At 44.2% G+C, this 23424-nt stretch overlaps 1 protein-coding gene across 1 annotated transcript in view, besides 5 other annotated features; it reads right to left on the bottom strand.

Moving 5' to 3' along the window:
* NXPH1 (neurexophilin 1) overlaps positions 1 to 22427 on the bottom strand; it is a 319353-nt gene extending 296926 nt beyond the window's left edge. The window contains exons 1-2 of the mRNA NM_152745.3: positions 21281 to 22427; positions 20269 to 20432 (exon numbers count right to left, since the gene is read on the bottom strand). Coding sequence (NP_689958.1) covers positions 20269 to 20322 — 54 coding nt within the window. The 5' untranslated portion in view covers positions 20323 to 20432; positions 21281 to 22427. The remainder of the gene's footprint in view (positions 1 to 20268; positions 20433 to 21280) is intronic.
* Positions 12961 to 13140: a silencer, noted in NCBI's record as "fragment chr7:8482526-8482705 (GRCh37/hg19 assembly coordinates)". NCBI's record gives its function as "represses an EF-1alpha promoter that drives an FKBP-Casp9 reporter gene in an ReSE screen in HepG2 liver carcinoma cells {active_cell/tissue: HepG2}" and the evidence as "EXISTENCE:reporter gene assay evidence [ECO:0000049][PMID:32094911]".
* Positions 14319 to 14819: an enhancer, noted in NCBI's record as "H3K4me1 hESC enhancer chr7:8480847-8481347 (GRCh37/hg19 assembly coordinates)". NCBI's record gives its function as "activates a minimal SCP1, AML or CMV promoter by ChIP-STARR-seq in naive H9 embryonic stem cells {active_cell/tissue: H9 hESC(naive)}" and the evidence as "EXISTENCE:reporter gene assay evidence [ECO:0000049][PMID:30033119]".
* Positions 20220 to 20767: an enhancer, noted in NCBI's record as "H3K4me1 hESC enhancer chr7:8474899-8475446 (GRCh37/hg19 assembly coordinates)". NCBI's record gives its function as "activates a minimal SCP1, AML or CMV promoter by ChIP-STARR-seq in primed H9 embryonic stem cells {active_cell/tissue: H9 hESC(primed)}" and the evidence as "EXISTENCE:reporter gene assay evidence [ECO:0000049][PMID:30033119]".
* Positions 20768 to 21315: an enhancer, noted in NCBI's record as "H3K4me1 hESC enhancer chr7:8474351-8474898 (GRCh37/hg19 assembly coordinates)". NCBI's record gives its function as "activates a minimal SCP1, AML or CMV promoter by ChIP-STARR-seq in primed H9 embryonic stem cells {active_cell/tissue: H9 hESC(primed)}" and the evidence as "EXISTENCE:reporter gene assay evidence [ECO:0000049][PMID:30033119]".
* Positions 21316 to 21863: an enhancer, noted in NCBI's record as "H3K4me1 hESC enhancer chr7:8473803-8474350 (GRCh37/hg19 assembly coordinates)". NCBI's record gives its function as "activates a minimal SCP1, AML or CMV promoter by ChIP-STARR-seq in primed H9 embryonic stem cells {active_cell/tissue: H9 hESC(primed)}" and the evidence as "EXISTENCE:reporter gene assay evidence [ECO:0000049][PMID:30033119]".
* Positions 22428 to 23424: the final 997 nt, after the last annotated feature.

Raw genomic sequence — 23424 nt, 5'->3', positions numbered from 1 at the left:
TTTCCTCTCTTCCCATTTTCAGAGCAGAGGCTCCATCTAGAAAATTGCCTAATGACCTTGCAAGGATCAGGTGTACCATTCCAGAGAATTGTCCTTCTCTATAAGGGTCAGGAAATAAATGATTGGCAAGAAAATATCCCCTAGGACACATGGGAAGAAAACCCTGCCATCTCATATTTGGTTTGAACAAATTATAAGTATGCCAATGTGCTTTTTAACAAGCCACTTAATATTTTATAGGCTAGTGGCTCCAACAGCATCTGATATTGAATATTGGCTGAAACCCTTTTGGAAGAAGCAACGAAGAGAGGATGCTGATAAGCAGCAGGCAATTTCCTCCCAACTTGTCTTCACAAACAGCCTATGACAGTTGAAATTCCAGGCTGGAACATTGCTCAAATTCTGATCCTTTCTGGGAATTAACATTCTCTCTGGACAGTAATGGCAATGCAGGCCACGAGGCTGTGCAGATGGTGTACAGAAAGAGGGAAGTCTGTTCTCCTTGTGAGCTGAAATGTCCTGGCTAGGAAATAAAGCTTTACCTTTCACCCTTCTGCTAAAGCTGTTAACAGTCCTGATTTCCATTAAAAGATCCACTCATTTCCTTTTTCAATGGCACCACAGATGAAAATAGGGCCAGAGATTATGCACCAAGACACAATACACTGCACATCAATTTTCTTCATACATGGAATATCATGACAACTGATTAAAGTCTCAGGATTAGTCGTTTAAAGTGGCCACAAGTTGCTCTTTAATTTAAGCCAATTTATTTTCTTTTTAGCCGTATGCCACAATTCTGCAAACACAGCTTTAATCTCCTTTTATTAGATTTATGTATATAGGAGAACTGACAATATAGTGGGTGGAATAATTCATTGATTCATATGGCAGTCTAACAAAAAATAATGGCGTGGCATACGATTGCAAGGTTACCTCTGATAATCTAAGACACAAACATGTAGCCCTCTGGTCCACAATTTACTCTACTGTTAATGGCTACACAAATGAAAAAAACAGCATCATAAATTAGACTTCTAGACTATTTTTTAATATCTTTTGCAATTATCAAAGAAAACATACTTCTTTTGAAATCTCTTCATCCATTTTCTGTCTCTGAAATACAACTTACTATGAGCACATATATATAATGCAGTGGCTCCTAGGAAAGATGACTGTCTAATGTAGTAAGCCCCAGGAATGGAGAAATTTATAATTCACTAAGAGTGTCATATTGCCCAATAGGTACGTGGACTCTAGTTTCAATCACGGGATTCCATTGAGCACTGATTGCTGGAAAAGTTGACTTATTCTAACTCTACGACAAGCCACCAATGTTCCTCTAGAGCCACGTTTCTCTTTTTAAAGAGGCTTTTTGCACTTATTTGTAATTTTGAGTATATCATAGAGGAGGAAAGATACGGTGGGGGCCAGAAAGAGTGGCTAATGGCCAATGCATGTCATCAGAAAATCTTCTACATCTAGCTCCATGACTGGCCCTAATTCTGACACTTCCCAATCAATACAAGTCAAATTTACAAATGAACAAAGGGCTTGGTAAAACTGAAACATCCTGTAGAAGGAGAAGCATGATGCACAAAGCAGAGGATAAATGCTTTGTCTCAGACCTTGTAGTGGTTAAAATCTATCTCCCCTTTAAACTCTGAACACCTAAGACATTGAAAATTACCCATTATTTCAACCATATCACAGAGTTCACTGCTAAACTACTGGGTTCCAAAGGCAGTCCACTAACTTTCTCTTACAAAATTCCATTCGACAAATTCCTTTTTTAAACTTTCATTTTAATTTCAGGGGTACAAGTGCAGGTTTGTTACATAGGTGTCATGGGGAGTTGTTTTATAGATTATTTCATCACCCAGGTATTAAGCCTAGTACCCATTAGTTAGTTTTCCTGATCCTCTCTCTCCTCCCCACTCCACCCTCCAAAAGGCCCCAGTGTGTGTTGTTCTCCTGGATATGTCCATGTGTTCTCATCATTTAGCTCGCACTTATGAGTGCAAACATGTAGTATTTGGTTTTCTGTTCCTTAGTTTGCTAAGGAGAAAGACCATTTAACCCAGCAATGTCATTGCTGGATACAGGCCCAAAAGAATATAAATCACTCTATTATAAATGCACATGCATGCATATGTTCACTGAAGCACTATACACAATAGCAAAGACATGGAATCAACCTAAATGCCCAATCAATGATAGACTGGATAAAAAAAATTTGGTACATATATAAGATGGAATACTATGCAGCCATAAAAAAGAACAAGATCATTTCCTTTGCAGGGACATGGGTAGAGCTGGAAGCCGTTATCCTTAGTGAACCAACAAATATCTTAAAACCACTATGTGTAAAGCATGTTAGAGGAATTACTCACTTCTGAGATGCAGTAGTACCAATATCATTAGTCCTCAGATCAACAATAACCTACACAATATTCCTCTAAGGCAGTTTAATAAATAAAACATATTAAATTTTCTTAAAGAAAATGGTTCTTTACAACTCATGAGTAAGAGCGTATTTGTTCATATACTAAGTTTATAAAACAACCCCACTGCAAAATGCCACAGTTGGAAATAAAAATGCCGTGTTTGGCATATACAGCCACCTTGGCAACCAATGATGCATTTCTATAACATTTTTGGTGATTGTGCATGTTTGATGTTTGGGTGGGTTTTTTGTCTCTTTCCTGCCAATTAAAATATTTAGAATGATTTTCAGATGTTCGGTGACTAAGAAGGCAAGATCGCATGTCAATTGTTCAGCTCATTGGAGAGGGTAATACGTTTATGATGACAGTTTCTGAATACAGTATAAATACAAATACAAGTATTTCTTTCTTCCTCTCCCTCTCTCCCCTTTCCCCCTCTCCTTCTACTTCTGTAAAAAATAAAAAAGTATCTTTGAAAGTAAACTTAATTCTTTCTGTCTTTTAGACCATTTTAGTTTCCAAACTGGAGTGAAATTCTGGTATGTTATCATTATTAACTCTGTTCTTGCCAGAGGCCTGCAGATACTATATTCCTGGGGTACATGTTCTGATGAGACTTTCCCCAGAAAAGCAAACTAGGAAGTACACTCATCTTCTGGGCTGTCAGAAGTAGCAATCTGCATTGATGCTTCTTACCAAGAAGGATCCAGTTAATTTTTGCCAATATATTTACAAAAACAGAAGATTTGTGAAGTGGCTCTAGTATCAATCCCCAGGACCACCTCACCCTACCCCCCATTCTTTTTAATACTTTATCAGGCACCAACTTCTATAATCCTAAGAAATTTAGGAAAACTGAGATATGTCTTTAGGATGCCCACTAGAAAAACAAGTCAAACATTTGAATAGAAGCATGGAAAAGGCTTTCTTTTCCCCTCTTTCCACCACATACCTAAATGGCTTTGCCTAGGATCCTAATTAATTGCTTGAATTCCCCACCATGAATAATCTGACCTATTAAATCAGCATCATACATTCACAGTTCTACTCCCAAGGCCTTTACATCTCCTTACAAAGAGAGCTGTAAAACATGATGAAAAATCAAGGCTGTCAATGAGATTCTAGCCTATCAAGGAACCAAGGCATTAAGGGAGATAAAAATGCCTTCAGTGGATATAATAAATCAAAAATGGGAACAGGAGGAATATTCAACAGGTCCATGGTACAGCTATTTAACTGAAGTTTCATCAGTGGTGGTAACATATTTAAAGAAAGAGTATATCAAAAAGACTGGATGGGTTTGTCAGCATAGAAAACTTGGATTCGGTTATTGGATTGTTAGAAAGGAAAGTACTCTAATGTTTCAGATATTCTTCTCACAAGAAAAGGGTATATCAAAAACGTATTCTGGTGAGAGTCAGTTTATTTCTGAATATCTATTAACTCTAGAATCACTGACAAAGTTCCATTTCCGGGCCTGGGACCAAATCAATTTCACCAGGCTGATGCAAACCGCGGGACATCTGAGTGGCTAATCAGTCAGTTTTCTTCTGTCAGCTTTTCCAGTAACTAACTGTGTACTGCCCAATTTTCATTCAAAAATTTTACCAGATTTTTAAGGAAAAGAGTTTGGGCTATGTTCCATGAGACATACCATGGTGAACCCTATGCACCCAAGTCCATGAGGACCCTGAATGCCTAATGGGGAAAGGATCATGAAAAAGAAATGGAAATACTCTTCTTGCCTATGCAGCAATCTTTCATAGCTCATGATCGACCTTTCTCAGTCAGCCATTTGAACATTGAATCACATGTAAGACGATGATATAATTTAATCATCCAAACCAGGATACTTCTGAATATAAGAGGAGGGTTGTTTTTGATATAGGCAATGGGCATAAAACAGAACTGTTCCAAGTAAACAGAGAAGTATTCTCTCACCATAGTTGTATGGCCTTGGCCACTGAATAATTGTCACATACCTACTCAGACAAAAGACTAATGCTTTTTACTATCAAACAAAATCCAAAAGCTTTTGAAAAAGAGCAGTCTCAATTCGTTATTCAATAAACAAAATAATGTTCCAAAGACAGAAAAACTTGGGATGACATTGGTATGTTCATATTCCCAAAATAATTTGTTCAGCTCAAGGTTAGTAAGAAAAAGAAACTCCTACTGCTGCTGATAAAGCCATCTGTGCTTCGGAAGCGGCTGACAGGTGTCTCCAGAAGAAGCAATCAAAAGTCATTAGCGATCAAAATCATGACAATTAAATACAAGGATCTATCAGGGTCTTATTATCCAAATTGCAATAAAAATAATTCAGACACCCGCTCTCTGAAAGACAGAACAGTCACTTAACTTCCCAAGTCTGTTGGCTGCACTCTGTTATCAGGATTCCTAAACCCTAATTCCTAAGGGATCTATAAGAAAAAATAAGCAAAAGGAACACAGATGATAGTTGAAAAAAAAAAAAAAGCTAGATCCCTCAAAATCTTTCAAATGCATATTCTTCCACAGTGCAGATGTTCATCCAGACCAATTTTATAACTAAGGAAATATATTCTGGGAAGATTTGGCATTTTTTAAAGTTCAAAGTTGAAAGCACACATTCTATAAATAAATCTACAATGAAGTGCTAAAAGGTTTATTTCTGACTTATTTCACAAACTAGGAACTAGGCATTAAAATATTGGGTCATAAAATGCTTAAAAAGTAGATTACTAGAAACTAATAGAACACATTATTATCTATTGAGCCAATGATGGGTCAAATGGCATTTTGAATTCTTGCGGAGAATATGAATATGACCTTCATGTATACCATTTACAGAAAGCAATTTTATTTACATTTTTAAATCCACATAAAGGTGAAAGATGATACTGCTGCAAAATGGAACATTTAATTTTTTGCCCCAAGGCATAACTAAGCTCTCCCAAGGTCAAAAGTAGTACAAGACTGAAATGAAGCCAGACTCTCCTCCCTCATCTCTTACCAGAGGATTTCCACTTGGGGCAAAAGTGTCTTGGATCTACTTTTATTTTTCAGAAATAGATAAATTCCTAGATCCAACATAGACTGAATAATTCTATAAAATATTGTCAAGGAAGTTTTCTACTTCATCTTTACACATGCAGAATGCAATGAAAGACCTGTGCTAAGTTAGTTGGATGTCTGAAACTCTTTTGACTGTAAGGTTTTAAACTAAGCAGATTTGAAGTTTCATAGTTTGTATAATTGTGCAAATATTTTAATTTAAAAAGAGTGTAGATTTGCATCCCCTTTTAAATCCAGTAAGCTGTCAGCATGGCAGGACTCATTAGATTAAATGCCACAGGAAAGTTAGAGTTTATGCTTTGTATATATGGTTTCCCCCTTAGAAGTGAACTCTGCTCTTCTCTCCCCACCTCCTGCTGCCAAGACATGGCAAATAATTCAAAAAACATGAGTGTGATTTGTTAGAAGAGATACAGATGTTATGTATCATTTTTAAATCTACTACAGATGACTGAGGGTTGTACTTTATGTCCCAGTCTCGCTTCTTACCTTACCCTGAGACCCAGGGATCATTTTTCATATTGGTCAGGTCAATAGATGCAGACTTCCTAAAATGCTTGTGTCCCACATGCCACGAGCAGAAGCTGCAGTCACAATCATCAATATCAAGCTTGCATTTCTTAACTTTGTATCCCCATTTGATGGGAAGTCCCTAAAGAATAAAAACTGCATCTAATAAAACTACTTAACTACAGTAGTGCCAACAGCAATTTAGGCAGACCCCAGTTCCCCAAATAAGATCTGCCCAAAGGAGGGAGAAAAAAAGAACTCTTAATTGAAATGGAAGGCAACAGTTATTTCTTTTGAAATATTTTTATGAGACTCTCCAACACAAACATAACATGGGTTAATGATTAAAAGCCCTGGTCAAGAATAAGACTGCCTGAGATAGAATCTTGCCACCTTACACCAGACACACTCTCAGTGCCTCAATTTCCTCATCTATAAAATGGGTATTATCAACCATATCACTAGCATGAGCATATTAATATATTAACAGTAAAGATATTAATATGACCTAATATTAATAGTACATGTCATCTTATAGGGTCATTAAAATAACTAAATGGAAAAAACTCCATGTTAAGGTCCTGGCACAGTGCTTGCCTCAAAATATAAACAGAAATATGGAACGTTTTATCCTTTCTAGTAGTCTTTACACCTTCCCCACTCTAATGTCAAATATAAAACAAAATAGTGTTTTTGTGTAGGAACTTTTCTTGGATACCCAGGGCAATGCCTTGGAAGGGGGCATAGGGTAACCTATACAAGATATTTTTAGCAGCATATGAGAGGGATACTGTGGCTCTCATTCCACCAAACTGTTTCGACAAGTCCTTCCAGGGAGTTAATGTGTCACACTCAGATATTCAGCTAGAATGAACTTCAATAGGAAAAAGCCCCCTGGCCAAAGGCCCCTGGACTTTGAAACCCAGTAGGCTATTATAAGTTTTGATTATACTGTGTGCAAATTTTAAGATAATCTCAAATGTTAAAAGTAATTTAAAGCAAATACTACTCACAAATTAATATTTAAAATCACATCTTAATAAATGGCCATAGTGTTTGCCACATGGAATTAAAACATCACAAGGATTCTCATCTCAATTAGGCAATCTATTTATTGATCCTATTGATGACTTGTCTCTTCATTTCCATAAACAATTCGCTAGTTGCTGTAGAAATGTCCTTTTTTTTTTTTTTTTTTTTTTTCCCCGAGACGAAGTCTTGCTCTGTCTTCCAGGCTGCAGTGCAGTGGCACAATCTCAGCTCATGGCAACCTCCCCCTCCCAGGTTCAAGCAATTCTCTTGCCTCAGCCTCCCAAAGCTGGGACTACAGGCATGTGCCGCCACACCCGGCTCGTTTTTTGTATTTTAGTAGAGACAGGGTTTCACCATGTTGCCCAGGCTGGTCTCAAACTCCTGAGCTCAAGCAATCCGCCCGCCTCGGCCTCCCAAAGTGCTAGGATTACAGGCGTGAGTCACCGCACCCAGCCAAATGTCCATTTTCTTCTGGCTGTAATCGTAAAGGTAACTATCCACTCTAAATACATATGGCTTTCTGGGCAGCACTGAGCAACTATATAGCTATCAACTAGCTGAAAGAAGGAAACAAAAAATATGGCCCTAGGATAGAATCAGCCCTTCTGTGTCATATTCATAAGGACTGTGCTGGAAGCACATGGGAACCTGGTCCGGAAACCCTTCTTTCTAAAATGTTAGCAAGACTTTTTTCTTTGTTAGTTCATCATTGCATTGTACCAGTCACCTTTCTAAGCTCTTTAGAATACATTAACTCTGTGAATTCTCAATAATAACTCTAATGGGTGGGAGGTATTGTCAGCCCCATTTTTCAAGTAGGGAAATTGAGGATTTGAGAAGTTAAGCTTGCCCAAAGTCACAGAATTAAGGAAATACTTTGCCATTACCTTCTCTTTTCTCCTAGCCAGTCTTTCACAATGCTGCTTCCCTTAAGAATTGCAGTGAGGGATCTGAGACAGAGGTCCTGGGATAACTGAAAACAGGCCTGTTTGCTCTCTGTTATGGCCAGGTCCTCGTTGGAGCCAAGTGAATTCAGTGTTGACACCTGGTTGGGTGCCATGATATTATCCACCTGGCTGGAAGTTTGATGATGGTCTTTGGGAAAATATCAGCCACCTGGAGGCACGTGGCTTTGCCTTTAAAGCCTCTCACACTTTTAACCACTTGTTCGAGGAACATCAAGGGTGGGGGGGAATCCATCAATCTGTGCAAATGCATCTGGCCACATATTAATGTTAGTCACCCTAATTGTGAAGAATTTCAGTCAAGAATGCAAGGCAGGATTAAACACCTCAGGGCAAATCATTCACTTTTCATGCTTCCACACTTCAGAATGTTTATTCAAGAGGTGCAGATCCAAAAGTGGTAGCTCAGCTCATATGCCAGATCTGCATTTATTTGATAATAGCTAGATATTGTAGCTGCCTATTTGCTGCAGCTGTTCACAATTCTGCATTGTTAAACCAAAAGAAATAAGGTTGAAAAGCTAACACCAGGCACTCATCATTCAATTATATATTTCTTGTGAAAGACGCAAAAACTCTGCCATGTTCTGCAAAATCTCCACATCAATAGCAATTAAGTTCCACATCAAGACCAGAGAAATACTACACTGACCATGCATGAATAACTTCCTTTCACATGCAGTGGCTTGCATCTTTCTCTGCATTTAATTCTCTAACACAGTAAATGATGGTGCCCTGGTGAAAGAAACTATTCACAAATAACTGGAAAAAAATATGTGAGTAAAGTTGTTTTGTATCTTCAATTTCAGAGATTAGATAGACAGCTCTATTACTAACACCACAGCTGTTCCAACAACAAATCACAACTCATCATTCTGCAAACAGGCTTTAGAATTAAACTTAGGATTAATTACGGAATTTTCACTTAAAATTTCTCAAACAGAAAATATAACAGGTCTCATATAGCCCAGCTTATGCTTTTAAGAGTTTTCCATCAAGTATTGGGCAGCATCAGCAGTGCATCTAGCCAGTTGATAAGTCACGGCACTGTTTCTGATTTAGAGGAGATGTTAACAGGATAGTGCAGTGGTCATTCTTATAAGAAAAAAAAAAAAGAATATTACTATTCTAGTTATCATTGGAATGAAATGGGGAGGGGAACAGCTTTTTAAAATGTCACCATGATTTTTAACCGTGTATAATTCTCAGTCCAGGAAGGTAAGAAAAAAAAAATGCTTCATTCCCCCAATATAAATATACAGTGAGGAAAAAAGGAAATCATAGTGGAATTTATGGCATTTCTTAGAGATCTATACACTATGTAACAGAATAAATGAGAAAATGTAGTTTTAATTTCTGTTTGGAGGAAGAAAAAAATAAGGACCTCAAATTGTGCCTGTGGAAAACAGGAAGAGATTTGGTTTTAATGATTTAACTACATTCAAAAAGCCTCATTTTTATTATGTTTGATGCTAAAATCAAAACCTCTATTCCTTTACTTATTCAAAAATGCATACAGAATATCAACAATACATAACTCATATATTGTTGATTATTTTAAGCAAAATAATAAAGCAATGTTAGACAGGCCTTTTTCTTTCTTAGCCATGACTTCTTTGTGACCCATAAATTTCTTTGTATCTGGTAAGTTAAGAAAATGCATCATTCCTAAAATTTTGATTATGTACTTAGATGTTACCTTGGACTCTTACAATCACTTTCAAAACACGTCAAGTACATAAAAGAAGGGACAACCCATGATTAGCATACCAGTGTTCATATCACTGCACTAAGACAGACAATAAATTTCCATTACATTGTCAAACTCACTCAAAACAATCAAATATTTCACTGAACCATTTACAACTATTGATTGCACACCAAACCTAACTTTATATTCTTCCTATTTTAAGTAGATGCAATATTTTACAAGGGCTTCACAAGTAAGAGATTGTGAATGTAAAGCAGTCCATTAATTTTATATAAGCTGTTTTATATACCTATGGGCCTCTAATAACATCCAGCTACAAGGTTACAAGGAGAAGAATCATTTTCTAAAGTTCAGTTGAAGAGGTTGGAGTGCGCATGACTAAAATTTCAGCTATCATGCCATTGTAGTTCCTCTTTACCAAAATTACTTTCATTCTGTAGCTGAAAACACTGACATAAACAGGACAACAGTGCAATGTCAGGTATCAGATTCCTACCAAGGAAATGGTACTTTCAAACCCATGTTGGAACAACTTATATGAAAACAAAAGAATTCTCCACAATTATTTTCCATGGAATCCTCTAAAGAGGTGAATACATAGAAACATATAACCTTGCTTTGCTTTGTGTATATGTGTATGTGTAATCTGTAAATGAAAAAGGCTCTTTAAAACCAGGAAATTTTCTCTAAATCTTTGTCGTAATTTTTGTGCCAATAACCTCTTAGAGAAGAAAGTGCCTCTTTCTTTTAGTCTGCGGTTTTCAATTGTATTAAAATTCCTGCCAATTTGTATCTTCATCTTAGCTCTAGAAGGCCCCGTTACACTATGTGTAAATTTATGCATTGTGGTGGGTTAGAGGCAGGGAGGCAGAAAAATGTAGGGCCCTGCAGCTGTTTCCAGTCACCTCTTTCTGCTCAGCTTCCTGCATCATACTGCACTTTACCATAGTGTACATTTCCAGTGAGTGGTAAGCCTGGCCTTTTGTTCCTCTAAGTTAGTACAAGCTAATAAATGTCTTTTTCGCTTTATTGGGACCTCTCTTTAAAGAGGCTTGACTGTGGGGTCTGATCTCAGAGAGATAGTCCTTTAGACTTGAGAAAAGTAAATTAAGAGGACAATTCTGTTAATATCAAAGCAGGCTTATTACTTCAATATAAGCACTTCCTTAATTTTCCTTTCTCAGCATGCTACATAAATATAAATAAAAGAGCTCTCCACTGGATGTAAGTTACGTATATCTCACAGAGTTTAATTACAAAGCCTCTAAAAATGAAGAGGGTGGGAGGAAATCATGCCCTACATCATACAGTCCTAGTATTGTGTTGGCTAGCTGTCTCTGACCACAAGGAAACAAAGACACTCAGGTAATCACAATATGCCATAAAAAGGCTGGGCTCTGAGGAAAAGAAAATCCAAGAGAAGAGGACAGATAGTATTACTTTAATGCCTGGAAGGCCATAATTTTTAATTTTGTTCTCATTAATGTTATTATAAATGCGATCATTTTACTGCAATGAAGGAGGAGTTAGGTTATTTTAAAACTGCTACATCCTATCTTCTTTGCAGCGATTGATTCACTGTTATAAGGGAGGGGCGAGCTAGATGAAGACGATGAAGACGAGGCACTGACAAATGCACACCACACACACACACCTCAGTTAACCCTAAGTACTATGGTATTGCAGGTAACTGCGAAGACACCTGTACAGGAATACAAGTTTCATCCCAGCAGCTGTCCATCGGGGGCATCAGGCAACTTCTGAGTGTGAAAAAGACTGTGCCAGGGAGGGTGGACTGCGGAAGAGAGGAGAAATGGGAATAGGCTTGTAATCCAGCAGGCAAGACCCTGGGCAGTTCAGTGACCTCGGTGGGTGGAGGCGGGGCCTATACCCAGTCCTAGAAAACTAGCGGGCTGGCCCTTAAGCTAAAGGCCGAAATCTCGCCAGGGCCTCAGAGAATACCTCCGAGGCGTTGCGCCTAAACCTTCTCTTCCTCACCTTCCGACCGCTCTTTTCACCTTCTGATTCGTTCCCTTCTCGAGGGCTTGCCTTATGTCCGAGCTAACTTATGCTACGGGTTAATGGAGCACTACATGCCAGATCTCTGCTCCTTTAATACAGCGAGAATTTGCAGAATCGGGTGACAAGAAAAGGATTGACTCCTATGCTAAGGCAAGAGAAACGGACAGAACTTCCCAGCCAACCTTCGCCTTTGACATAGACAACCCCTAGCGCCAACGCTCGGTACTATCCGTCTTATTTCTGGATCAAATCAACGGTGTGACCGCTGCGGTGGAGGAACTGGGCGCACTTTAAGTGACCGCAGTGTCTGCTCTAGGGCGTGCAGACAGCCCCCAGGGGAGTGTGCAACAGCGGCCAGGGCAAGCGGCGAGGGAGGTAGGGCAACGTTGTGTGAGAATGAGTGTTTGTAGGGGGCGGTTGTTCGTCGTTGTTTGTTTGTTGTTGCGGTTTGGTAAGTAAAGAGAAACTCCCCCCCGCCGCTCCATCCCGGGTCTAATGATGATAGATTTCACGCTGCATCAGGCCCCACGCTGGCGAGCCTAACCACGGAAAATAATGAGGCTGCATCCCCCATTCGTCTGCATTAAAGGCGAGCCAGGAACTTTCGATAGCAAATATATCGATTTCCCTGCCTAGCCATGGTTTGTCCTGCTCCCCGTGAATAATTACTGCGCCTTTAGAAATTCATAATAATTAGGACTCTCCCCACCCTCTCCCTCACCCCTGCGCGCCGCTAAAGGCGCCTTAGCCTGGAAGGCGCCTGGGTGGCTCCAGCCGTGTTCCTCGCCGGGGGAAGAGGGGCAGGAATCGCTTCTCCCCATAGGGTTTTACTCTTGCGAATAAGTTGGTTGCCTCAGTTTCCTTGTCTGTCAGTTGAGACTTTTACATTACTAGAGACACTTCTAGCTCTTCGTTACAGCCTTCACGTTTCTGTTTCGGGGGAGGGGTAGATTTAATGAACTGTGAAAGAATGGGAGACTGGGTAGGGGGAGAAGTTGGGGAAAAGAAGGATTCGCAAAATCTCCGTGGTGATCACGTGACGCCGCAACCACTGAGTGTGGTAATGGAGAGGGGTGCAAGCAAGAGTTTCTGACCGCAGGTCATGCTGGGGACCTAGAGACGGGAGCTAGCTGCCCCCCGAATAGCTGGAAGGGGTAGGCGGGTCGTCACAGTCGCGAGCGGGCCTTGAGGAGGTATCTGCGGAAACCGAGAGTGCTAACTCGACTTTAAGGACCCAGCCGGAGCGGCAGCGGGGGAGGCAGGCCCTACTGCTGGCACCAGGCGGGGCGGAGCCTGTGGCGCTGGCCGTGGTGCTGAAGAGTCGCTCTCCCGGCCCTGGCGTGCCCCACGCCCGCCTGCCCGCGATCAAATCTTATAGCCCGCGGCCTATTCTCCCGAGAACTGCCGCTATCCAGCCCGCTGTCCCAAAAGCACCGAAGCTTGGTGGCGTCGACGAAAATTACCCAGAAACAGCGCTTTTGCATGGGGACTTGGGCTCCGGACGCGAGAGGGCTGCATCTGTGTTTCCATAAACCTGTCGAGATCGCTCGAGGTCACCTGCGACTGAAAGCAGACAATAAAGCGCGCAGCTGTGGCGGCGGCCACTACGGCTGGGAAACCCCGGGGCCTGAACACTGCGGCTTTGGTCAGCGGACTGAGTTTCCGAAGGGAGGGTATGAAGCCTACGTCGAAAAAAGTTTCTTGCTTCTTGTAGAAGACGAAGGAAAATGGCCTTTTAAAGTCAATGTGTGAGGACGGGGTCTAAGACATAGGGTGGGATGTGTGAGCCGGATGCCCTCTCCTTCCGGTGTGGCGAGGACGCGCGGCCTCCCCCTGCGCCCTTAGCCGCGGCAGCTAGGATCCTTCGCTTCAGAATCCATTAGGGCGGCGGGGGTGATGGCGAGGCGCGGCCAGAGGCAGGTTCAGCGGGGACGCGCAGAGCTCCCGCAAGCCAGTTTCTAAGGAAACACTCAGTTTTTCTAAGCAGCAATTTGTCTTATTGTGGGAGAAAGAAACAGTACAAGAAAAGCCTCCCGGTTCTCCATTCTCATGCAGATGAGGCGATGCGCTCTGGATGCGGCCTGTGTCTCCCCCTCCCCATCGTATTTCCGGCTTGAACGAGTAAAATACCCTCATTAATTTATAGGAAGAAGGAGCTAGGAAAGCTTTTCGTAAGCCGTGGCCCGAGAGGAGCTACTGTCTTGCTGCTCCTGGGACCCCACTGCTTGTGCCGTCCCAACGCCCTGGCTCCCAACGCCATCTCGCTTTCCACCACCCCGAACCCCTGACTAGACGCCTAAGGAACTTTCGGCAACAGAGGGCACCGGAGCAAGAGAATCCCCTCCCCGCCCACCCCCACAGACCCCCTGCCGGCTCCCACCTCCGCAATCAATAAAATATACTAGGGAAAGCTCTTTGCAGAGGAGGTAATTAGGTTTTCATCCCGTAGCAGAAACGCAGCGCGCTCATCAGAAGTTTAAACAACAGCCACCAACCCGCGAGGGCAGGGCAAACTTGGAAAATGCGCAAACGCGCTCTTGGGCGCGCGGAGGGGTTTGAAGAAGCCGCCAAAATATATTATCTCAATAAAAAGCCGCTCTTGGAAAGCTTGCATAGTAATTGAGACGGGCGCTCTTTTCTGATCTGGGTTGGCATTTCCTCATCTCGAGCTGACAGAGCCAACTCAGGAAATTGCTGGTAATATTCATCTGGGGAGCACTTTCATTAAACGTAATTCATTCGACTTTCACAATAAATTGAGTGACATCCTTACAACGGAACCTTTTTATCCTTGATTAAGTGCTTGCCAAGCTTTGGTTTCCCACTTTATTGTCACATTCCTTCAAGCAGAGTCGTCAACATGCCAATCTGAGGCAGAAAAATGCGCGCGCTGTGTTTACCAAGCTCCGGGAGGGGGTTAGTGCTGACATCCAGAAAAAGAGCTGGTCGGGAACTTGACTAGTGGATAAATCAAGACTGAAACTTCCTGCACACACGCGACGGGACCAGGCAAATAGTGGCTAAGAGAATGCAGAGGGAGGCGAGAGTGCAGACCCGCTTTGAGACTCGGCTGCACCATGAAGCCGCTGACCCAACCGCTCTCGGCTGGCAGGCTCGCCTGCCTTTCCTTAATTAGAACGGCGAGGACTGTTAAGGTCTTAAAATGAGATCTGAAGCCCCTAACGGACAATGGTTGCCCAAGAGGAGCTTTCCTGAATCGAATCAAAGCTAGACACTTTTTATTTTTAAAAAAATCAGAAAGAACGCACACTTCCTAACTTCCCACTTGAGAGCAGGCAAACTTTCAGAGCTTCCATCACTTGCTTTACAGGAGCGCAAGAAGAGTGTTATTCCTCATTCCTGAAATTCCCTTTTGACTCGCAGCCGAATTATTTGAGGGCTCTTCAGATCCAGGAATTCCAGGTGAAGCTGACAAGCACCTTGGTATTCCAGGACTGGGAGGATGGGGAAGGCATCTCTTTGCCAATGCGAGGCTCCTTCTTCCCCATCGCCCCCCTAGTCAACTCCCCACCCCCTATAAAATCAAAGAAGCTCAGGGCAGAAAATTTCTTATTGGAAAAAGCAATATCCAAATGCTTTCGGCACTCAAATGCCCTTTCGAAAATATTGTCGACGACGGTTATTACCCGGACAATGCTGTCAATTTCTGTAGTCTGCAGAAAATCTTTCCTCAGATAGAAAAATAGGACACTGGGCACCTATCTCAAAAAAAAATCAACCAATTTCCCAGCCACCTGATATATTTTTCACCCAGACAACACTTTCATTAAGGAAGAAATAGCCGTCAACAATTCAAAGCCAAATAGAAATCAACTTCGCACAGAGGAGCCACGAATTTAATGGCTTTCCGAAAAAATACCGCTGAGAAAGTTGGAGCAATCCTGGTTCTCTCCGAATACTAAAGTCAGCTTCTCTAAAGCTGTCACTAGAAGGCCTCAGACCAAGATAATCCTTCTGGAAATGGGGCAGAAAAGTGTCCCACCCAAGTGCTTCCCACACACTTGGGCGAGCTGCTTTCTTGGTCAATGGAAAGTTGAACATTTCAGGGAAATGCCTAGAATAGTAGCAACTTCTGTGTCCCCCAGAGCTCAGGAATACATCTTAAAACTGATGAGTTCTAAGGCTGTGCTTCTGGGGTAGAGGGCCTTCCAAAAATCTAGTCTGAATCCCGTATGTATCTAAAAGGCTGGTCTGTAGTAGAAGAGTCAGGAAATGCAGTGGAATGAGAAACTTTTAGTACTGCCTCCAAGAACTAGCCTTAATAGGGAACACTTAATAGCCACTGTCAGGAAATTTATTTTATTTTGTTTATTTTCAGTAATAAGCTCAAATTGATTAGAATTTTCAGTGTGCAGCTGGCTTAATTTTTAAAGAATGAGAAGCACACATACCTAGTCCAAAGAAAAGACATTGCTGGTCTCTCTCCCTCTGCTTTTCCCCCAGCTCCAATATACCTTAACAGCCATCTTCATAATGAGTGGATTTCACCCAAATGATCTAGCTTTTAACAGTGCAGAGGTAGTGGTCCCATAGATACATTAATTACTCTCCAAACTCTATTAAACAATTGGTGTAGAATTCACATTTTAAGGATATCCCAAATTTGAGAGAATAGATGGCTCATAATGTGGCACAAGTTTAGAAAGGATTTTTAATTCATGCCTATTTTGATTTAAAAAGCAACTTGATTATTAGCAATTTAATTCCTAGCAGAAATGGTGGGACCCCTTCTCATTAGAATAGAGCTGTGGATGGGTGACTAGTCACAGTAACTTTATACAATGCCTTGTCGGATGCATTGGATTCAATTTCTGAGTAGCTTTTTCATTAGCATGCTCAGAAAGTGCTCATTAGACTCACCTCTCTAACTGAGAGTTACCACAGGTGAGCCCCCAAACAGAATGCCACACCCTGTGGGAGATGCTTTCCTGGTGTCCTGGCCTATCCTTCTACTTGATCCAATGAGGCTGATTCAAGTTAGAACCCCCACTCTTCAGAGCAAGGAACCATATTTTTCTAGCTGATTCAATATATGCTTCAATAAAGTTAAAATGCTATCATCCTGCCATCCCATTGTATCATACTGAAAATATCCTGGAATTGGTCCAGGAATAATAAGAGAATAAAGATTGCAAAACTTTTTTATTATTTTTAATAAGCGTTGTTAACCATAGACTTCTCTCCTATTGAATTCAGGCTTTTAAATCTGCAATACATAACATTCAATAGTCTGAAATTTTATTTACCTTTATTTTTAAAAGTTAGTTTCCCACCCCCATGCATTTATGGCTGGAGCTTGTCCTGTGGTGGATTTTGAGTATTCCAGCTAACATGCTTCAGAAGGTAACTCTGTGGGCACATATCTAATTAGTTTCCCATTAAAGTACTAAAATAAGCTTCTATTTTGAACTAGGACAGACTTGTCTCTCAAAAAACACAAAAATCCTCAACCTAAAGCATTCAAAGAATCCCGGGCCCAGAAACATACTTTGCAAACATTCACCCAAATACAGGTAGGAAACTGTGGCTTGGTGTGGGGCATTGACCTACTGCAGAGTTTTCATAAGAAGTTATTCTCAAATTTGGGGGTATTTAAGGTATTCACTTTAAACAGAAGCCTAAATATTTCTTTAGGAGATAACTAGACAAGTCTTGTTTCATGGACTTAATGTGGTGATTACTCCCTGGGAAACATAACTAGGATACCATGGGCTTAAAGGTCAAGGTGCACTGAGATATCAGCTAAGAGGTAAGGCATAAACAGAGTGATGCAGGCACTTAACTAGTGGTGTGAGCTCACAAAGACAAAAATTATCCATCAAATTCTTCCCTGGCTTATGTCAGTTCAAGAGAAAATTAAAATAATGGTTTTGCCACTCTTGCCTTCTTTGAATGTAACTTAAAGCAGCTCCTGACAATCTGTATGCATCCAGTGCAGGTTCTTACAAAGGGATAAGATCTTCCAATGTGCAGCTACAAACAAATGATCAATCCAGTTAACTGTATCTGGTATTTAATGAAATAGATGAAGAAAGAAGCCTTGATCACTTCTTGATCGGTTCATTGCCCTAGAGTTTTAATCAAGGCTCTCTACTTCTTTATTTGCCTAAAACCATCCCGAAATGACTGCCCAATTCACCCTTTTAAATTCATTTCCATGGTAGAAGTCAGCTTTTTGCTCCTTCAGGAAAACAGCTCGGAATTCTGCTGGCAAATATCCATGGGATTACAATCCCTGGAAATACTGCCTTGGGTCACAGCCATCAGCTGTAGTTTTTGTGGTGCATGTGGTTTCTAGTCCCCGACACACAAAAGTACTTTAGATTGGAGAAAAAAGAACGGACTTCTAAATAGCCTTCTCTATTTTATTGTTCACATTTCGTATTGTTTTGAGTGAAATTGGAAAAATTGTCTCCTTTCTCTGTATTGCCAAAAGGCATTCAGGTAATGAAGTCTGTAACTAAACGGTAATTGAATCAGCATAATTTGCACACTGAATGGTTTTCAAATGCTCCCAGTTTACAATTAAAGGAGAATTAATGCGCTTGTTGTTGAGAACGCAGCGCATTAGAATAAATCCAGCACTGTTGTTGTAATGAGTGGAAAACGGTTTAACTGCCAACAAACACATTTAAAATTTAACACAAAGTATTGATTTCACTTCTGCTTTTGATAGATTATTTTCCAGACTATCGAAATACTTGCTCCAAGCAATAAACTGCACCATAGCCACAAGCCCTTGCCGTGTGTGTGAGCACAGCCCAAGGACGTAAGAACAGTCCTCAAGTTCAGGTCAGGCGTAAAGGTATGCAGAGGAAAAGGGCAAGCGGGTTACGATGGTCAAGGGAATCCTTAAAATTACCTCCCCCCCGCCCCCGTCGCTTTCACTTTGCATTCCCTCCCCCCATCTCTCAATAAAAAAATTCTATATTTCTTCTGGCCAAACTTTCTGCCCTCCATCCATGGTCTCTCAATGTCAGTGGGCTTACTGAACACAGGTGGGGGTGAAAATGATTGAAGATGGGAAATGGGAAGGACACTTTTTGCATTCCGCCTGCGTTCCAGCGGGTAAAGGCACAGACTTCGGTGACAGAGTCAGAAAGGCTGTTCTTTTGGATTGGCTGCCCTGGCTTTCACCTGTTTACCCCAAGGTGTCCTGTGGGCGAGGACGCTGATGCGCAGCGCCCTCTGGCGTCCGCGGCTGCTACGGTCAGGCGATAAAGGGGCAAAGACAGGCAACATTGAGGGTTCTTGGATTGAAGCTGAAATCGGTTAAATACACATTCACACACACATATATATACGTGTCACTCACATACACAGAATTCACACAACTCGCAGCTTTGCAGCCACATGCACCAGGGCAACGGCCGAGAAACGCTGTCAATTGTAGGGATGGCAATTCTTTCAGGCTTATGGGTTCTATCTAAGGCTCTTGGGATTGAGGAGCGCCAGTATCACCTCCAATCAGAGGTGTAGCCCATCAGAGAGTTCGGGCTGCTTTAGCGCACCTCACCCCTAGACAGAACATAGCGAGCCCTCGGTGCACTCCCGCAGCCCAGGATGGGCTATGGGGGTCGGGACACTGAACACAACTTCACCAGCAGGGCACAAGTGTCCCTTACCCCCATTCCCCCATTCCCACCCCAGAAGCCAGACCTGAAATATCTCATTCTCCTTGTCTCAACATGGCACAAACAGCTACCAATTCACCACAACAAAGCTCTTCAACCAGGAGCCGAGTTCCAGCAGTGTACAAAGTCCAGCCCCCCGGAAAACTCTGCTACTGAAGGACAAGGACCGCGGCTTTGTTTAGAATTCTCTCCCTGGCGACAAGGCCTACCATTCCCTAATAATGGACTAGTCACTGGAGATGGGATTTAGTTATTTGATGAAAAGGGGAGGTCGAGACGAGAGGAAGGTGGACATGTTTGCTGGAGTATCTCTGTCCTAACTCCGATTGCTTGCAGTACCCCTGATAGTTAAACTTATCCTGTCGGAACCCTTACAAGTCAAAGAAAGTTAACTGCGCTTCTTTATGTGTCTCATCTCCAAATCGGGGAAGTGGGTGGGTAGATTCACTTTTAAACTCACAGACCTGGGCAGATTTGTTCTTTCCACCACCCAACTACACCCCCACTTCCCTTCGTTTAAACTCTGTGCATGAGCTACTGAGAGTTCCTGCCTTCCACTTCTTCTCGTTGGCCCTCTATCACATAAAGCACCCCATCTCACTACCTCCTTGGGTTTAGGGTGTCTGGGGCGCCCTAGCCCCTTTCAAGAATCACGCGCAGGAGACTGGGGGATTGGAGCAGAAAATGGGGTGGGAACCCCGGAAAATCCGCAGGAATCCAGAGACCAGCTTGCCAAAGTTGCTCCAACACAGCTGCTAGGAAGCTGCTCTCACTGAACTGGCGGCGTAACCCTTCTCCCGCGTGTCCCCAGTTTCCTTGCCTCCCGGCCGGGGTAAAAATGCGAAAGCCCCGAACCTTCCAAGACTTACCAAGTAGACGGTGGGCTGCAGGAGGAAAAGCACGTACCAGCACGCAGCCTGCATTCTCCCGCGTCTCAAACTTCCTTGGCGGTGCCTTCTTTGAGTCTTTGTTCCTTCAGAAACATAGATCCACCTGACATCCACTTTACAGAGCAAGGAGCGCTCTCAGCAGCCTAGATGCAAATAAAATTAGACATCCCATGACTACGCGGGCAAGGTTAGGCTTGACAATCAAGCGGGGAAAGGGGGTCGTAGCGGGGAGTGGGGGACCAAAAAAAAAAGGGAGGGAGGGTACGAAAAATTGAAAAGCGAGTAAATCCAGCGCCTGAGACCAGCAAGCGCGCGGTCCGCAGCTGGGGAGGCGGGCGGGCGGACGAGAGGGAGGGTGAGGGGCTCCTTGCCCCCTGCGCTCCTCGGGTGCGAGTTCCCAGGCGGCGGAGCACACTGAGCCGCGTGCAGGCTGGTTCGGAGCCCAGGCTTCTCCGGCAGCGAGACCTGCCCTTGTGTTGGGTGGCCCGGCGGCTCGGACTAAAGGCGGCGGCTGGTTCTTCGCCAGCCCTGGCAGTGCTCACACACGTACACACCAGCAGAGAGAGATAGAGGGGAAAGATAAAGGGAGAGAGAGAGATTGAGCGAGGGGGGCGCGGTGAGAGGAAGAGGTAGGTAGAACTGACCGCGATTAGGTGCTAGGTACCTCAACACGTTCGGTGAAGTGGGGGTGGGGAAAGAGAATGCAATTTGCATACAGGAAAGCAGGGATCAGTTTACCCATTCGAACCCCTGGCGCACACAGAGATACCCACGAATGCTCACAGTCACATCTCTAGCACTACTTTTTTCGAGCCAAAGGGTACAGCCGGTCGCTAACTTCTAGAGAAGAAGCCTCCTCCGAGCTGTGAGGGTCACCTGCCAGGCTTGTTCTCTTTCCTAACCAGCGCCCCTCCCTGCCGTCCCTTCCTCGTGCCCACCACCCCGCTCCCAGGTGTACCCTCCGGGAACAGCGGAGGCAAAGGGTACGTACCGCACAGGACTTGGGGCGAATCCTGCGAGAAGGGACCGCTCTGGGCAGGCTCCATGGAGAAGCTACTCGGGCCTGGCGTCTCCAGCGCCCCGGACGTGCCCTCCCAGGCGCTCCGTCTCCATGCTCGAGCGCAGACGGGTCCGGCTGCCTCGTCCAGCTTTGGCGGAGTCGCCGTCCCAGTGCCCGGGTCGCGCTCAGGATTGGTTCGCGGGAGCCAAGGCTTGGCACAGTTGGATTCACGGTGCAGGAAACTTAAGAGGCAAGAGAGGGAGGGAGCAGTAGAGGAGGAAAGAGAGGAAGACAGAAAGGGAGGGAGAGCAAGAGGGAGGGAGAGAGGGGAATGCGCCGGGCTGCTGCACCGGACGGACTGGGACTGCCAGCGCTGGCACCCGGACGAACAGTCCAGGACTCTCGGCTTCCCACAGCTGCCTGAGGATGGTGGAAATGACTTAAGGGGAGGAGACTGAGCAAGTCCTCTGGACTTGAAGTGGAGAGATAAGACACTGGCCTTTCGGAAGAAAAGAGAACCACACGGCAGACGAGAGCAGTCCGAGTTTCTGAGGGAGGGGTGGGGTGGCGAGAATCTGGAGCCTGCGGCACACGGAGCAGCTGTACCTCTACCCGCGACGCTGGGAAGCCCAGGAGCCGGTCCCCAGTGGAGTCCCGGGCGCTGTCCCTGGTGCTGCCCGGCCACCCGGGGACGCTCTGGAGCGCTTTGGGTTTCCGGCGGCCGCGGTGGTCGTGGTTTCTCCGCAGAGCCGCGGCTTGGCACGCCTACCTTCCTGACACGGACAATTACTTTGGCACGTGGGTGAATGATTCCTCAAAGACTAATTAGTACCCTGTGTAAACAGATCCGGCTCTCAGGCTCTCGCGGGCTGGGCCCACAGGGACAAGTGGCTCCCGCGGTGTCTTCGGTGGCCGCAGCGCCCCCTTCCCGGGGGGCGTAGGGAAGATCGCAAAGCCCAGGGGAGTGGCGGGAAGAGCAGCCGGGAGTCGCGTAGGGCGGGGAAGGGCGCGGGAGGGTGCAGGGCGCCCCTGCCGGCCTCGAGCGCCGACGCCGGGCGCCTCCGACCTGTGGCTGCCGGGCCGGAGGCGGGGGAGCCGCAGACTGCCAGCCATTCAGCTCGAGACAGCCGAGAGGACTGGGCGACCTTGGCCTCTGGACTCCTCGCCGCCGGCTGGGCTGAGCGTGAAGGGGGAGGAGGAGGACGGGGGATGCTTCGAGCCGTCACCACCTCCCTCGCTACTGACACCTCCCACTCAACCAGCGTCTCCCAGACTCGGCCTCTGTGCTCCGACTCTGGCTGTCTCTGTCTTTCTCAGTCTCTCCCTTACTGTCCCTATTTCTCAGTATCTTTCTCACTCCCTCTCTCTCTCTGTCTCCTTCTTCTGTCATTCTTGTGGTCTGCGTCTCTGTCCCTCAGCATCTTTCTGCCTTTTTCTGCCTTTCTGTGTGTCTCACTCAGGATTTCTGACTCTAGGTCTCTGTATCTCTGTGCCTCTACCGTGTCCCTGCCATTCCCCCTCAAACCCTGTTTTGTTTTTTGTTTTTTTTCCTCCACCCTTCCAGTGCACCACCACCAGAGCAGTTTCACCAGTCTCGGGAGACAGCCAGGACCAGCTTCTTCTGGTGCTGGTGGGGTTGCCAGTGCTCCTTGAGCTTGCCCAAATTCAGGGCACAAATCGGAACCCGGAAGAGGGTATCTCTTCCCCAACCTTGCCCATTGCATCTCCAAGCCTGCCCTTCACCAGAGCCTCTCCTGGGGTGATGCACATATCCATATCAATCTGTAGGAATTGTATGGAAATTTATCTCAGGAACCTGAGTTAGTGACATCAAAATCGAATTGTGATATTTAATGAGTCTGGAATGTCCTTTCCTCAAGTGTGGCTGTGGACACTCTGGCAGGTCTGGGCCTAGATACAATGTACACTCTAGACAATAGGTCCCAGGCTGAATTCCCCTGGATGATGGAGACCACCCCTCAAACAAGGCAGTGACAATCAGCAGAGCCACCCAGTCCTGCAGCAGAGGCAAGAGGAGCCCCACTGAGACCTTCCCCTGGAATCAGATCTCCAAAGACCTCCAAATTAGATCCCCACTGTAGAACATACCTACCAGCACTTTGAGGTCTACACTC

Source organism: Homo sapiens, chromosome 7 (assembly GCF_000001405.40).
Source record: "Homo sapiens chromosome 7, GRCh38.p14 Primary Assembly".
Lineage (NCBI taxonomy): Eukaryota > Metazoa > Chordata > Mammalia > Primates > Hominidae > Homo > Homo sapiens.
The sequence above is the reverse complement of the archived record's forward strand: the minus strand, read 5'-3'. Positions and strand labels throughout refer to the sequence as shown.